The sequence below is a fragment of the Homo sapiens genome, chromosome 12 (genome assembly GCF_000001405.40).
Source record: "Homo sapiens chromosome 12, GRCh38.p14 Primary Assembly".
Taxonomy (NCBI): Eukaryota; Metazoa; Chordata; class Mammalia; order Primates; family Hominidae; genus Homo; species Homo sapiens.
In genome coordinates this window covers 46,199,135-46,214,802 of record NC_000012.12, presented here as the reverse complement: position 1 = coordinate 46,214,802, position 15,668 = coordinate 46,199,135, and the positions used below count along the sequence as shown (strand labels likewise).

At 37.3% G+C, this 15,668-nt stretch overlaps 1 protein-coding gene across 52 annotated transcripts in view, besides 1 other annotated feature; it reads left to right on the top strand.

Annotated features, from left to right (window-relative positions):
- The window catches only part of SLC38A1 (solute carrier family 38 member 1), an 85,981-nt gene that overhangs the window by 54,241 nt on the left and 16,072 nt on the right, over window positions 1–15,668 (top strand). For all 52 annotated transcript variants that reach the window (NM_001077484.2, XM_047429588.1, XM_047429598.1 and 49 more), the window contains 8 exons: window positions 5,676–5,749; window positions 7,182–7,274; window positions 7,567–7,648; window positions 8,641–8,723; window positions 10,213–10,271; window positions 10,386–10,502; window positions 11,714–11,793; window positions 13,605–13,705. In NM_001077484.2, the coding sequence (NP_001070952.1) occupies window positions 5,676–5,749; window positions 7,182–7,274; window positions 7,567–7,648; window positions 8,641–8,723; window positions 10,213–10,271; window positions 10,386–10,502; window positions 11,714–11,793; window positions 13,605–13,705 (689 nt within the window). The remainder of the gene's footprint in view (window positions 1–5,675; window positions 5,750–7,181; window positions 7,275–7,566; window positions 7,649–8,640; window positions 8,724–10,212; window positions 10,272–10,385; window positions 10,503–11,713; window positions 11,794–13,604; window positions 13,706–15,668) is intronic.
- Window positions 6,800–6,889: an enhancer, noted in NCBI's record as "active region_6238". NCBI's record gives its function as "activates an Ori minimal core promoter by ATAC-STARR-seq in GM12878 lymphoblastoid cells {active_cell/tissue: GM12878}" and the evidence as "EXISTENCE:reporter gene assay evidence [ECO:0000049][PMID:35858748]".

Genomic DNA, 15,668 nt, shown 5'->3' with positions numbered 1-15,668 from the left:
TGATGCTGTGTTGGGAGGATGTCATATGATTTGTTGCTGTGTAGCTAGGCTTTTAAAATATAGTCTTATCTCCCTTAAAGTGTCCTGAGGTTGGTTTTTGTTTGTTGGTTGTTTTTTTGTTTGTTTGTTTTGGGGTATACTTTATATACAATAAAATTCTCCAATTTAAAGGGTGAGGTTTGTTAAATTTACCCAAATACAGTTGTGAAATCACCACCACAATCATGGTATAGAACATTTCAATCACATTAAATGTTTTGGTTTTATTTGTTGTCACAGCTTTCCACTTTATTAGCATATGGTACTTTTAAATATGAAAATAATAACATTATTCATATAATCTTTGGGTAAATTATGGAAGACCAAATAATTACAATTCTGTTAATATGATTCAAAACATTGACAAATAACGTTTTTCAAATCGATGTTTAGATGTTCGTTGTTTAAAAGATGAGTCAAAATTTTCTTGCAGCAAAAAGAGTAAATATATCTAGGACCACTGTGACAAATCTTTTTCATTTTTTCTTTTTTTGCTCATGCCACTTTGTCTAAGATACTCTCAGGAATCTGTTTAAAAATCATGGAAAGCAAGAGTATCCCCAGAGGATTAGAAATAGGCTAATTTAATCCCAACTTTCAAAAATGGCAAAAAGTAGATGCCAAGGAATAGTGTAGAGAAAATTATTAAACAGCTTGTTTATGTGCAATGACTGCAGAAAAGATTACTCTGTAGAAACCAACAAAGTTTTTCTAAATAGTCACTAAACTAATATCATCTTTTGAGATACAGTGAGCTAAGTAGATCATGGGACTATCTTCATAGAGGGAGTCTTGATTTTAGTTAAGATATTTGGCATAGTCTCACATAACTTGCCAATGAGGTTCTAATGTTTCTAAATTCACTGATTCTCAGCGAAGACTCTGTTATGTGTGTGTTTGATGTTGAAGGTAAATAGGTAAATAGTTGAATTAAACTGTCGTTGTCTGTCTTACAGTCTAGTGATGGAGACACATAATAAAGCAATAAAATAAAAAGATTACTCTGGCTGCTGGGTGGAAGACGGATGTGAGGAGACAAGATGATCACAGTTATCCAGAAATTAAGGACGATGGCTCACACTAGAGTGGAGATGGGAACAAAATGCCTATGGATTTGGGATAAATTTTGGAGATAGAAATGATAGGGCACTTGCCAATGAACTAGATATAAAGGATGAGGGAATGGGTGAGAGATAAGGTCGACTTCCAGGCTTCAAGCAGTTGGCTGGACAATGGGCCATTTCCAGATGGTCTTGTTCTATTCAAGGTTGATGCCAGTGACTTGGATGAAGGTACACTTAAGATATGAAGTTAGATGCAGTGGTTGATATATAAGTAAAAAGGATCAACAATTTAAGAAGAGATCATGAGACTTGAAAGATAAAATGTAATGTAAATAAATATAGGACTGGCACTTAGCTTCAGAAACAGACAAAAAAAGTACACAAGATAGAATCAGGAAGACAGCCTAGTAGCATTCACACCAGAAGCTCAAAAAGAATGAAAAGTGTGTGGTTGCCGTAAAAATGAATTCCAAAATAGATTACCTTGAAAGAAGAAAGATGTCTGACTCAGAGAAATTAAAAATCCTATCATGCTTTGCGCTGTTTGGACCAAATCTGATGTTATAGCATTGTGTTCATCTCAGCACACAGCCTTTAAAAAGGATGGTTGAGGAACTGGACCATGACTGAGATGTAAACAGCCCAAACACTTCATCACAAGATGAACAGTTCAAAGAATTAAAGATGTTTGAGTTAAAGAGCACAATCTTAAAATGAGCACCCTCAGGACTGTTAGGTAGGAGAGGTGTTAGATTTCAAGTAGATACAAATAGGTCCAGAAGGTAAAATGAGGACCCAAGGATAGAAGTAGCGACAGTGATTTCAGCTGAGCCTCAGTTCCAAGCACAGAACTTTTCAGAAACAGAATGGGTTGCATAATATGTCCCCTTTTAAAAGACACTTTGCAGACCTGGATGCCTGTGTGTTGGCATGGAGCATAGAGGTTTCCTGTCCTGGGTAAACATGCTGTGCTGGACTAGGTTCTCTCTGAAAGTCTCTCCCTGCTTCAGGAGTCTAGAATTCTAAGTTTCTTCTCAGGAGACTCCAAAATTTACTAGAATGTCCTGAACCACATCTTTCATAATGTTGCTGACTCAAAGACTCTTGAAGGCTCCTGACCACATTATTCGCAATTCTAACTCTCTTGCCACCCCTTCCCCATGACCCATGTACAATTACATGCTCTAGATCTTCTCCTCAAAGATGAACATAAGTCTGAAATATCAACACCTTGGCAGCCCTATTATCAATTGCTGATCTGTAGTCCCCATGTAAGTACGCCTTTTTTAGCAACCAGTTTTTGTCCCAGCCATATTAATACTTGTGGTCAGTGGTTAACAATGTTGAAGCTTAAATTATATCCAGATGAAATTTTAAAAAGGAATCACTTGTGTTCCTCTGTGTTAACACAGGAATCCCAGCATGTGTTTCTCTTCCAGGAAACCATAATTATATGTACAAATATCTACCCGGACAATTAGGGGCATAATCATGCTCTAAATAGAAGTGTTCAAACAAGTCAACACCTTCTCTCCAGTTATTCCTCTTTCTTCTTTCTCTTAGATGTCATGGTTTCTGTGTCTCAAGACATTTATGATTTGATTTTTCTAACCCTTTCTAGGTTCTATTAGAGTCAATTAGACAACATATTCCTTCTTTCTAAGAATCTGAACAAGGAGGTATACTTTTCTAAATTTTAATCCTATTAATGCCAGATTCTTGTATAGGCTAAAGTATTCTTAGAATTTTACTTTTACAGTTTGCCTCTTAGTGATCTGATAGAAAAGGGGGTTTTGCTTTATATTAATTTTCAGTCTTGGAAGAGAAGATCTACATTTGGGAAAGGACTAAGAAGAGATCCTTTGCAGATCAGACAGTTAAAGGCAAAAACTATCAGACTCTAAGTACTCTGGGGTGCAATGTTACGTCTCTTAAACATGGGAGGGGGTTGTTTTCACCACTGTGGGAGCACCTCATTCTGTTGTGTTTAAGTGGGGGGAAGAAGATAAGTGAACACTACTAAAATCTTCCCTAATCAACACTTTTCTCCGGCTTGAAAAGGGGGGATAGCAGTTTATGATGCTCAAAGGGCCAGATGCCACTGAGCATCATCTGCAAAGAGATTCAACACATAGATTGTGTTAAGACACAACCATGTGCAAGAACCGCGTGGTTGCAGAGGCTACTGACTGAGGGAACACAGCAAATGTTTCCTTAGAATGTTTCTTTTGCTAATAAATACCAAGTTCTCCAGGGTTAGGGCCTTTTGTAAATAATTGTGTAGATATTCATAATTATCCCCTCCTGCTAGGCACATAGATAGTTCCTACAAGGTCATACTCTTTATACATTAGCCTTGGGCCCATGGGAAAATCCCTTTGGTCCTAGCAGAGTAGACCCAACAGGGCACATAGTCATTCCAGAATAGCATCTGGCTCATCCTAAGATGTCACTCATTTTACTCCACTAGGAAGCCTGTGCTCTTCTGTGCCACACGGAAATCCTCTAGGGCCTGTCACATGTTCGTGTAGAAGTGGCTACTTAGCATTGTGTCCCTCAAAACAAGTGAACTCTGCAAGAAACCGAAAGCTTGCTTCTTTGACATAAATATTGCTTATCTTACTTGACGGGAAAAAAAATCATGCCACAATTAGGTCCCATATCTTATTCTGTGGCAGAGCATATCAAATCCTGTTCCATTACGTATCTCAGAACTACTGGGTTGGCTAATAAATGCTTGCTGTCCGTTTCTCACATCCCTCAACCTGAAGAGATAAGAGACCTACCCTCTTAATCAGTGTATTAGTCCATTTTCATGCTCCTGATAAAGACATTCCTGAGACTGGGTAATTTATAAAGAAAAAGAGGTTTAACAGACTCACAGTTCCACGTGGCTGGGGAGGCCTCACAATTATGGCGGAAGGCGAACAACACATTTTACTTGCCCGCAGACAAGAGAGAATTGAGAGACAAGTGAAAGGGGTTTCCCCTTATAAAAAAACCATCAGATCTTATGAGACTTATTCACTACCACAAGAACAGTATGAGAGAACTGCCCCCATGATTCAATTATCTCCCACCGGGTCCCTCCCAAAACACGTGGAAATTATGGGAGTTACAATTCAAGGTGAGATTTCGGTGGGGACACAGCCAAACCATATCAATCAGCCTCCTCACTCAAGGATTTTAGGGAAATAAGTATAGATCTGAATGTACTTCCTTACCAATCATATCTTAACCTAAATTCCTGTTTATTGGCAGATCAGTTGGGCCTCTACCCAAAGTGTTAGGTCTGTTCTTTCTCCTAGTGTTTGTTTTGCCTCTGCTGAGCTCTGCCCCTCTTTTGTTTGCTGGCCAGTTTCTGGCAGTTCATCTGTTCTGCTGTTGACCATTCTGTACTCCTGGTTTATCTCCTCATGGTTGCCCCGTATGCAGGAGAAACAAAACACTGTAGGATCATAGACAGCTGAGGAGCAGTCATTCTGCCTGGGGCCAGGGAAGGCAACTGAGGAGTTGGCATCTGAGCTGGGGCCTAGAGCAGCCTTCAACAGGTGTGCTGGGAGGGGGAAGGGCCAGGAGGAAGCAGCCCACGCAGAGCGAACGGCATGATGTGCCAAGTGCCTCTCAACAGCACTTGGTGGAAAAATAATTGCCTTTCATGACTCAAACATAGAGTCAATTGCAGTTATGTATTGTTCTAGGGATATATTTTCCCACATCAGGAAGTGAGCGGTTTCATCTGGGGACTGGATTTTTTTTCTTCTTTTTTAATAAATAGGCTTTATTTTCAATTATCATGTCTGTTTTAACCAAATGTTTCAGAAATCATCTATATAATCTCCCACATCATTTTAACTGCACTTTTTCTTGAGAAGGGTGTGATAATGACCCAGATGTACTAAAACAAAAACATGAGTTCATCATTCAAAAAAGTCTTTTCATTATACTTGATTGTCAAATTTTCCCACTGGTTACCAAGTGGTGCTTATTCATCTAAGAGGAACCAGGTGCAAAAAAAGTGAATTACATTAGTAGCCCAATATATAGATTTTAAAATAGCCATGAAGTAATAGATGAAAAGAACCCTAGACATCATTTGGCTTGTATCTTTATATTATGGGCAAGGAATCCAGAGATGGGAATGTTAAGCAAGTTGCCCAAAGTCAGGTGGTCATTCTCCTAAGGTCACTGCCAGCCTTTCCCTCCGCCCCTCCCACCCCATTCTCACACTTTCTCACCCGGATGTAACAGAGAGTGCAACATAGACTACAAAAGCCTTCTTTCATAATGTTGTTTTAAAGTCATCTCAACCGAAATGCTCCCAGAGAGCTATTTGGGCTTCGAATTACATAAAGGATTTGAACTGTTACTCAGATTCTAATGAGCACTTCTTTATTTGGTAGGACATTTTTGTTGAGGATTTTAAAGCAGGGATGACTAATAGGTTCCAAAATTTGGATACTATTAACAAATAGTGTTAACCATACAAATAAACCTTTGCCCTTCTAAACTGTAATGCCAGAATATATTCTTTTCTAGATATTACAATAAGATTTATTTTCTTTGCTTTAGGGTACTTTTGACTTCAGTGACATTGCTGTCTATATATTCAATAAACCTCCTATTGATCTGTTCAAAAGAAACAGGTAAGCTGAGGACGTGTTTGATTTTGTTAAAACCAGGGTGAATTATTTTTATGGTAGCATTGTGGAACAATGATGTTCTCTCTGTACAGCAATTTGATTATTAAAAAGAAAGACTATTTTGACCTAGAGTGATTGGAAGACCTATAGTAGTATTTATCTAGAGAAACAGTTGCAGCAAAATATAAATTAAATTGTCATGGACAATGAGAAAATAATGTTGTCACTTAAAGTGAACCCTCAATTATACCTGTTTTTCTGGTTTAAAATGACTTCATTTTAAAAGCTTGTTTTTCCTTAGGTCTTTATAAATCCAGAACAAAGATCCCATGTTTTTATATTATAACTTCCAAGGTTTTAAAAGTAAACAGACCTGTCATTCTCTTGTGCATATTCCAAGGAGAAAGTGTTACTCCTGAGGCAATGTGGGAGTGAGCAAGCTATGAAGAGACTTCAAGTACTCTGGGCAGTGTAATACCTGAAGTGTTTATTTTCTATTTCTGGGACACTGGATTATGTTTGTAATTCTTTGACTTTTACATTAACTAAAACCACATTGGTCAACTATTATTGTATATACATGACTCCATTTAACTGGAACATTTTATAATAAATTGAGGAGCTAACCATTGTCTAGTTTAAACACCAGTCTTATGAGAGATTAAACAAAGGTTTAATTATAGCCTGTCCCATATTGCTCTCCGTGAACCTTTTGAAAACATGAACTGAACAGTTATAAAGAAATATAAACACTTTTTAAAAAGTGAATGCTTTAGAGTTTCAGTATTTATTGAGATGAGCTAGTCGAACACTTTCAAATTTTGCTACAGACAAATTATGCTTTTGACAGATTAGTCTTCTGCTCTCTTTTGTGAGTTGCATGTATTTGAACTACATTTTATGAATAATTAGGTTTTGTATGTCGTGGCTATTAAAATGTTTCTAAGCTTGTTATTACATTTAGAACGTGGAGGCATTGATGGGATGTTATTAAGATAATTCCTTGTTTGCCTAATCAGTTCAGGTCATTAATTCAAAAGGAATCTTTTTGTTTCAACTATTAGGATCTTTTTAAATCAAATATGTATTTTAATGGTGTACACCAGACCTGAAGAAAAAGATCACAGAAGGAATTTCCCCTTTGTAAGATAGAGGTAGTTAAAAATAAGCCTTATGACCTAATAGGTTAATTGTAATGCTCTGGTAGCCAACTTGAAAAAGGAGAAATGATGGTTGCATCTCACATTTTAAAATGTTAAGAATTTGTTTTGTAATGAGGATACCTTAACCCCTGAAGGCCAAAATGACTATTTGTGTGAGTTTGAGAAAGGCACATAGTAACTTGGGGAACAGTCAATAGAATGACAAAATCTTGACTATTTTAACTTTCTGAACCCTGTCATTTCTTGTGTTCTCAAATTTGATTTTTAAATAGGCTGCATGGTGTATGAAAAGCTGGGGGAACAAGTCTTTGGCACCACAGGGAAGTTCGTAATCTTTGGAGCCACCTCTCTACAGAACACTGGAGGTAAAAAGAACATGCTTTTCTTTACATAACTTGAAACTAATTCTGGTGGATGAGCGGCCACATGAATTTTAACATAATTCAAGCAGTTATCATCCTCATTGCTAAAATGGCACAGGGAAAGTAAAGCAGAGACAGCAGTCACTTATTTAAAGCCACAAATCCTGCTAGAGTAGCTGAAGTTGCCTTTGTGTCTTACTGACAGTTGGTCTAAGAACGGGCTGATAACTTTTTATGTAGCTTGCAACATAAGCCTTCGTATCTTCTTTCTAAAAATGTTCTCATTTTCCTTCAGCAATGCTGAGCTACCTCTTCATCGTAAAAAATGAACTACCCTCTGCCATAAAGTTTCTAATGGGAAAGGAAGAGACATTTTCGTAAGTTATAGACCATTTTTTTATGATATAACTAAAATGTTTTTAATTTAAATATGGGCCAATCAAAATTCTTGCTTGTGAATATTGCAGAAAGTTTTTCCTAGGCTGCGTTTTGTTTGTTTGTTGTTTCAACAATAAATTTCTTTGGGGCTATATAAAGGAAAAAAGCAGGAGAGCCATTTGCATATGCACATTTGAAAAGTAGATTTGTCTGTCATGCTATGAGCGGTAGATACTGCATTTTCCCCAGAGCCTGAAATCTATATCTAGTTTCTGTGAAATAGAACAGATATGCAGTATTTTTAACACAAAAGTGGAACGTGCAACAAAAATTAAGACCCTAGCCTCTTACTTAAAGAAGGGACATAGCATTTTGGGGGCGAAATTTACATGAGCCAACCTCATTAAAGATGTAGATAACCCTGGAAAATGTTGCAGCTACATTTGGCACAATTGTGTTTTGACTCCCTCTTGTTTAACAGTTCTTGTCAGTCTTAGTTTCTCTGTTTTCTTTCAAGGGAGAATCGTAGAAGCCAGAGTCTCTAGTGTTCTCAGGATTCAAGGTCAAATCCAAGGGATCAGGGAGAGAGAAATGTCTACCTGTAGTGACTTGTTTCTCACTGATACTAGCCCAGCAAAACAAAAAGGAGCTTTCTCTTTAAATAATTGATAGGACAAGTTGTAATCTGACAGAATGAAATGTGTGCATTCAGCTTTGAAACCATGTAAATAATTCAAAAGAATGCCACATTTAGCCAATGGGAAAAAAAAAAACCAATATTCCCTCTTCCATTACAGGGGAGTGAAGCTGTAGTATATAAGTAGGGGCTGGGTTAAAGTGTTTGGATAAGACCTGAATAATGATTTTAAAAATTAATGCATATAGTAAAAATTAATAAAAATATATATCATGATATCATGAAATTTTACATTGGAGGGGAAAAAAGTCACTTTCTAAAAAAATATAACCTAATCACTTAAATGCCTTTCAGAGCCTGGTACGTGGATGGCCGCGTTCTGGTGGTGATAGTTACCTTTGGCATAATTCTCCCTCTGTGTCTCTTGAAGAACTTAGGTAAGGACAGATTTTGCTTTTATCATATTCTGCAGTGCCCAAGTGAATCAGAAACTGAATAAAAATGGACAGTGTTGCCCTCTGCTTCCCCTCTGCATGCACTCAAAGATTAAGTACATGATAAATTGCAAGTATTAATCGGTCCCAACTTTAATATGGGATAAAAATAACAGTCAGTATGTGACCTCCTAAACAATCCCTCTACTGAGCTGTGGAGGGGAGAAGGGAGGTCCTGGGGCCAGGACAGACAGGGCTATTTTCAGTAGTACAACTTATATGCTACTCTAAGAAAAGTCCAGAAAATGCAATTCTCTTCATACGAAGTCTTAAATACCCTCATTATTTAGATAAATACATTTTCAAATCTAATATGGAGACAGAAAGCTGCCTAGATTTATACCCACAAGTATTATAAATTTAGAGAGTCTGACCAGCCTCAATTATTTCTCTTCGAAGTGGGAGAGAGAAATCAAAAGTCAGAAATGGCGGATAATCTCCAAGTCATATCCATTTGGCTTTGATCTACTACTTGTTTTTATGCTTGTATTTGGAGACAAGGATGCCTGATGTTAAGGGAATTTCATACATTGAATAATGTGACCAGACTGCCATCTAGTCAAAAACCTATAAAATGTATTTACTTTAATTCTGGGCTAATTCAAACAGAAGTTTGGATAAAAGCTCTCCAAACAATAATTATGAGCCTTAGTTTTTTGTTTTGTTTTGGATACAAAACAAAACAGCTCTGTAGTTGTTCTGTGAGGTTTATAAATAGATTTTTTTAACTACTTAATTTTCTGGTTTCTGCCTCTGTGTTTTCTGTACCTATAGAGGTAGCTCTTTTCAGTTAAGTAGAGAAAAGCTCTTCCCCTGGGTTGAAAATAATGCAGTCCCGAGAGGCTACTTAACTCTACCTTTCTGGAGGTCATGGTAGCAATTGGAGATCTCCCAGGCATTCTAAGGGGAGCTACTAAAGAGCCCCAGATACTCAATTTACCACTAGAAATTCGCTTCATCTACTCTCTGTCATCTGGGGAGAAAAGTATTATAACTGACATTCAGTATGCACACAATAAGTGCATAATAAAGAGCTATTGAGGGGATCAAGGAGTAAATGGGTTTGCCCATAGGACTCCATCAGGGTCCACCAACACAGACTTACAGCAAAAATTGGAAGGCTCTTTTCTGCTGGATTCTGGGAATCTGTGTTCTCTAGTGTGCCAGGGAGAGTTGGAATCAAAACACGTAATATAATGTTTCTATTCAGAGCCCCATTTTTTTGCCAAATAAAGTAGCACTGTCAAATAATAAATCTTGTATTCACTTGGGCATGTATGTTTATTATTGGATCTCTAAAATATGCTTCAAATAATGCACTGAAATAAGTGAGGTGATGAATTTTGAAATAATAACAGTTTATGATGGGTAGCTCCAAAATTTTTAAAAATGGAAAAAAATGAAATAATTTATTTTTTACTTTTTTTTAAAGGGTATCTTGGCTATACTAGTGGATTTTCCTTGAGCTGTATGGTTTTTTTCCTAATTGTGGTAAGTGCTGATTGCAATGGTTGGTTTGGTTTTGTGATAGTACAATGGCATGTAATAATTATTCATTGGCTTTACTAAAGTCCATATTGCTTCTACTATACTTCTTAATACCAGGTTATTTACAAGAAATTTCAAATTCCCTGCATTGTTCCAGAGCTAAATTCAACAATAAGTGCTAATTCAACAAATGCTGACACGTGTACGCCAAAATATGTTACCTTCAATTCAAAGGTAAGTTTCCTGATCCTTTGCAGATGAAACAAGCATTTTTATTAAGGACATTCTATTTCTCATGCTTGTAATTGCACTGGTTTGAATGTATTAGTTCTCAAAAGAACACATGATACCATTGCTTCCAGATTACACATCTATGTAGAGATCCTTGAGAAATATACAAATATTATATTTTACACTCTCTCTTACCATTAAGCATTCTCTGTGAAAATCCCATTCTGGATAATTGTCTCAGCTTTTTCTGTGTAGAGTGCTAGGTGATACTTCAAAAACAGACTAACAACATCCTTAGCTCCCTTCTTCTGGCGATGACAGAAAGGAATACTGCAGACTTCCTCAGGTTGCACAGTTGAAATATAGATGCCACCACAAACTGGCACTTAAAAAACTCTCATACTATTAAAATATTGTTGATACAATGGGAAACAGAGGATTATGGAGTCAGTCAGGCTTGGATTTGAATCCTCAGGCAAGTCACCCAACCCCTTGAGTAAAAATAAGTATTCTATTCTGTATCTTACAAGGTTTTGTTAGAATGTGCCTGGCATAGTGCATCAGCAGAGTTAGGGCATAAGATAGGTTAGTTTTCACTTCTTTTTGCATAGGAAGTTAGATTGAGTGTGAGAGTTTCAAAGAGCCTTATCTAAGAAAACTAAATAGATCGCGATCTTTCTCCTTCTCTCTGATTGTAAGGATATAGCCAAAGTAGTGCAATATGGAACAGATTTTCTTTTCAGAGGGTATCTTTTAAGTCCGATTCCATGCACCTGATGTAGAGCGAAGAGCAGTAAACTAGAGGTGGGAGTGCTGGGCCAGTCGCCTGACCTGTTGGAGGGAGCCAGGAGAACAGCCACAGTCTGCCTACTGCTTGGGATTGCTGTGGGGACCCAGCGAGCTATCCTAGGAAGAGTGCCATGTAACTGGCTCATGCTGTATAAACAGGGGGTGTTGTATACCTGGAGTATATAAAATACACCATAGGTGAGCCAAATCCGAAGTCCCTCTGTGACAAGTGGCTAATGGCTCGAGCTAGACAAGCTGTCTTAGAAAAGCTGCTTCTACTTTAGAGATCAAAACCTCCCTAATAACCGAATAATCCAGGGATTCTGAAGAGCTGTCAGATAAAAAGACAGCTCAGAAATACTGGAGCTATGTCCTTTTTATGGTAAAAGTGTTTTTCCTAATGTCTATTCTTTTCTCTCAAATAGACCGTGTATGCTTTACCCACCATTGCATTTGCATTTGTTTGCCACCCGTCAGTCCTGCCAATTTACAGTGAGCTTAAAGAGTAAGAAATTTGTTTAATTTTTTATCTTAATCGTTTTACATCCCCTCATTAATAGGCAAGTATGCAATTAAAATAAACGGACTTGTCTAATGAACGTCAGCGGATTCATCACCCAGCTTCAACATTTACTCACATTGTGCCATTCTTAAACAAGCATTGTATTTTAAGAAACAAGAAAGCAAGAAAAATCAGAAACTTGCAGTATTTTGGGGGGCCATAAACATAAAAAGTAGCCAACCATGTGGGCTTTTTCATTAATTTGGTTTTTCAAATATTGTATCACCGAGGAAAGTTTAAGTATTTGTGTTGCTTTCCATTACGTATGCGTATTTTGCAAGTGGGTGATAATCTTCAGATTTATCTGTAAACTGCTAAATACATCGTCTCTGATTTGCCTGTGGGTTTGGGTGAAAAGGCTAGTAAATCAGACAATAAGAAATCAATATTAAGACCACAAACTAGGAAAAGAGAATATTGCTGTTCATTTTTAACTATTAAGAAAATTCTATGGATTTATTGATTTATTTTTGATTGCTGGTTTTGAGAAAATTAAGGCCTGCTTATAAACTTCTTCATGTCTCTTTTTAGCCTATGGTTATCAAACATAAACAAAAATAGTCACAATAGCGTATCTTAAAAACTTAGAAAAGATCGACAATATCAGTATTTATTTCCAGTTTGAAACAAAGTTGATGTCATTTAGCATTGAATCCACTCATATATCTTTGGCGTCTTTTAATAGTTCAGCTTTTAGTTTTAGTTTTTAATTTTCTCAAGCGTATACTTCTCAATTTTTCTTTATTTATTTTTTTTTTTTTGAGACAGAGTCTCCCTCTGTCACCCAGGCTGTAGTGCTATGGTGTGATCTCAGCTCACTGCAGTCTCAACTTCCCAGGGTCAAGCAATCCTCCCACCTCAGCCTCTCAGGTAGCTGGAACTACAGGCACATGCCCCATGCCCAGCTAACTTTTGTATTTTCTGTAGACACAGAGTTTCACCATGTTGCCCAGGCTGGTCTTGAACTCCTGAGCTCAGGTGATCTGCCTGCCTCAGCCTCCCAAAGTGCTGGGATTATAGGCGTGAGCCACCGCGCGGGGCCTACTTCTCCGTTTTTCTTGTTTTCCATACTTCTATGGCATCCTAGATTCCTTGACATAACCAAATGTTATGACTATCTGTGGTCTGTTATTTATTGAATACAAGTGTTGCAGATTAATTGTTTGGGCAGTTAAAGAAACTTAGAGGGTCATCCCAACCCCAGAGTGAACTTGACCTGAGAGATGGAGCCCTTCATCATTCCAGCTGTGATCTCTTGGGCACTTGCTGCGCTGGAGACCTACAGACTTCCAGGTGCATCCCTGAGGCCACCCAATGGGAAAATCAGAACCTGAAACAGCAGCTTTAGAGACAGAACACCTGAGGTCAAGTTCCAGCTCTGCCACTAATCTCTGGAGCTAGGAGAACAGCATTGATTTTTTTCTGCCTTTTTTCCTTTGCCCAGCTAGTGTGGAGATAATATCAAGCACAAATATTAAAAAAATGCTGTCTGCCCTTCCGATGAGAACTCGATATTCTTTTAAAAGAATGGGGAAGAACGCTAACGGGAGTGTAGTTCCACAGATCTCACCCTCAATACCAATTCAGTATAAGAGAGGTTATTTTCAACTGGCATAACTGCCAGGGGTAATTTCAGCTGTTCAGATCTTCCCTAACCTGACAGAAGCAAAGTTAAATTAGTATTCTTCAATGTTAACACTGGTGCTTAAATTCAGTCATATGATTTTTAATTTTTAACATTTATTTGTTTTTAGCCGATCACAGAAAAAAATGCAGATGGTTTCAAACATCTCCTTTTTCGCCATGTTTGTTATGTACTTCTTGACTGCCATTTTTGGCTACTTGACATTCTATGGTAAGTAATTTCTACTGGTACATAAATATAAATATTTGTAAACAAATTAGTAAAAATTAGTGTTGAAATAACTTTTAACATGAAAGGCAAAGAAAGCAACAAAGCTATCCATTGGTTTTTCTAGTTTTTTCTTCGACTTAAAGCAATGGTGATCTTTTCATGTTCATGCAGACTGCCGAATAAAATAATTACTCAAACAATATTTATAATTTTTTTCTCCTAACAGTGTCCTTAATAGAAATTGCATTTTAGAAGCATGCTACCTTTACTGAGGAAGGTTTAAAACTACATCAGAGAAGGCTTTCCTAATTGACACCGCAAATTGGGTCAGATTCCATTAATAGAATGGAGAGACAGAGACAGATGCTGAAAGTGAGAAAGAGCAGAGTGCTACACTCATGACACTCTGAGTTAATTAAAAATGAAACTTCTAATTGTTCACTGGAAGTCGAAGCCTTGCAAAGATCCAAAGGAATGATAGAAAATTTTAAAAAATGAAATCTGAAAAAGGGAACAAGTTTTCATATGTAACTTTTACTGACCCTGAATGAACAGTTTACCGGCGTTTACTGCTTCTTCATCCTCTCCTATTCAAATTATCCTGAAGCTTGATTTAATATCTTTCATTATCTTTATAATTGGGGACCTAATTTAAATATATATATGTGTATATATATGTGTGTCTATATATATGTGTATATATATGTGTGTGTATATATATATATATGTATGTATTTCACAATCTTCTCTACTAAATAATAATTCTTTGGGACTTTTTTTCATAAACACAAATGTCTCAAAATTAAACACATTTAAAAAGTATTAATTCAGCCTGGAGAAAAAGGCTACTCTGATTATACAGATATTATTATTGTTTTCACTAGCAATAGAGAATGGCATTGTCTAATGAATTCATAAATACCACATTTAATTTTTACATAAAAATGGTGTTGCTAAGGTGCATACAGAGTTGTACAGGGAGAGAGAGGCGGAGAACTTAATGTTAGTTGAAGTCTCACTGTTGTCTTGTTGAAGCTATAATTTTTCTTTGTAGATGCATTATTTTTCACATAGAATAGAACACCAAACACTTTTATTACTCTTGGATTAAAGAAAAAGGATTAGCTATTTTTTAAGTGGTTAGTTATTTTGAATTAAGGAAATTAGAACTAGTGAGATTGGTATTATAACTTATGGTTCTTTTTTGGAAACTGAGACCAAGCTAAGCTCTATGGTACAGATTAGCATTTGAATTCCATGCTGAGGACCTTGAGACTGGTGCAGTGAGAGGCCCTTGCAGGAGACAGGAGGGGAAATTACCTCTTGTCAAAAGAGTGAGCAGTTCCATACTCTATGTGACTGCCATTCTAGCTTTGTTAGTCTTTGAAATAACACTTTCTGAAGTTCTGGATTGAGAAAAAGTTCAAAGTAGTACATAAGGCCAGGTACGGTGGCTTGCACCTGTGATCCCAGCATTTTGGGAGGCCAAGGTAGGTGGATAGCTTGAGCCCAGGAGTTCGAGACCAGCCTGGGCAACATAATGAGACCCCCATCTCTACAAAAAAAAAAAAAATACAAAAATTAGCCAAGCATGGTGGCACATGCCTGTAGTCCCAGCTACTCAGGAGGCTGAGGCAGGAGGATTGCTTGTGCCCATGAAGCAGAGGTTGCAGTGAGCCAAAATGGCACTATGGCAACCATATTCCAGCCTGGGTGATAGAGCAAAACCCTGTCTCAACACACACACACACACACACACACACACACACACACACACACACACACACACAAAGTAGTACATAAACTAATTTTTTTTTTTTTACAAGAACAACATACATGAAAGAGTGGAATTATTTCCTGATGGTGAAATTTCAACTAGTGTCTCTGCTGCTTGGCCACTTGAAGTTGACTTAACAAGAGAAGAGTTTGAAACAAGCTCCAAGGTGGCTTGTAGCTCTCCCCA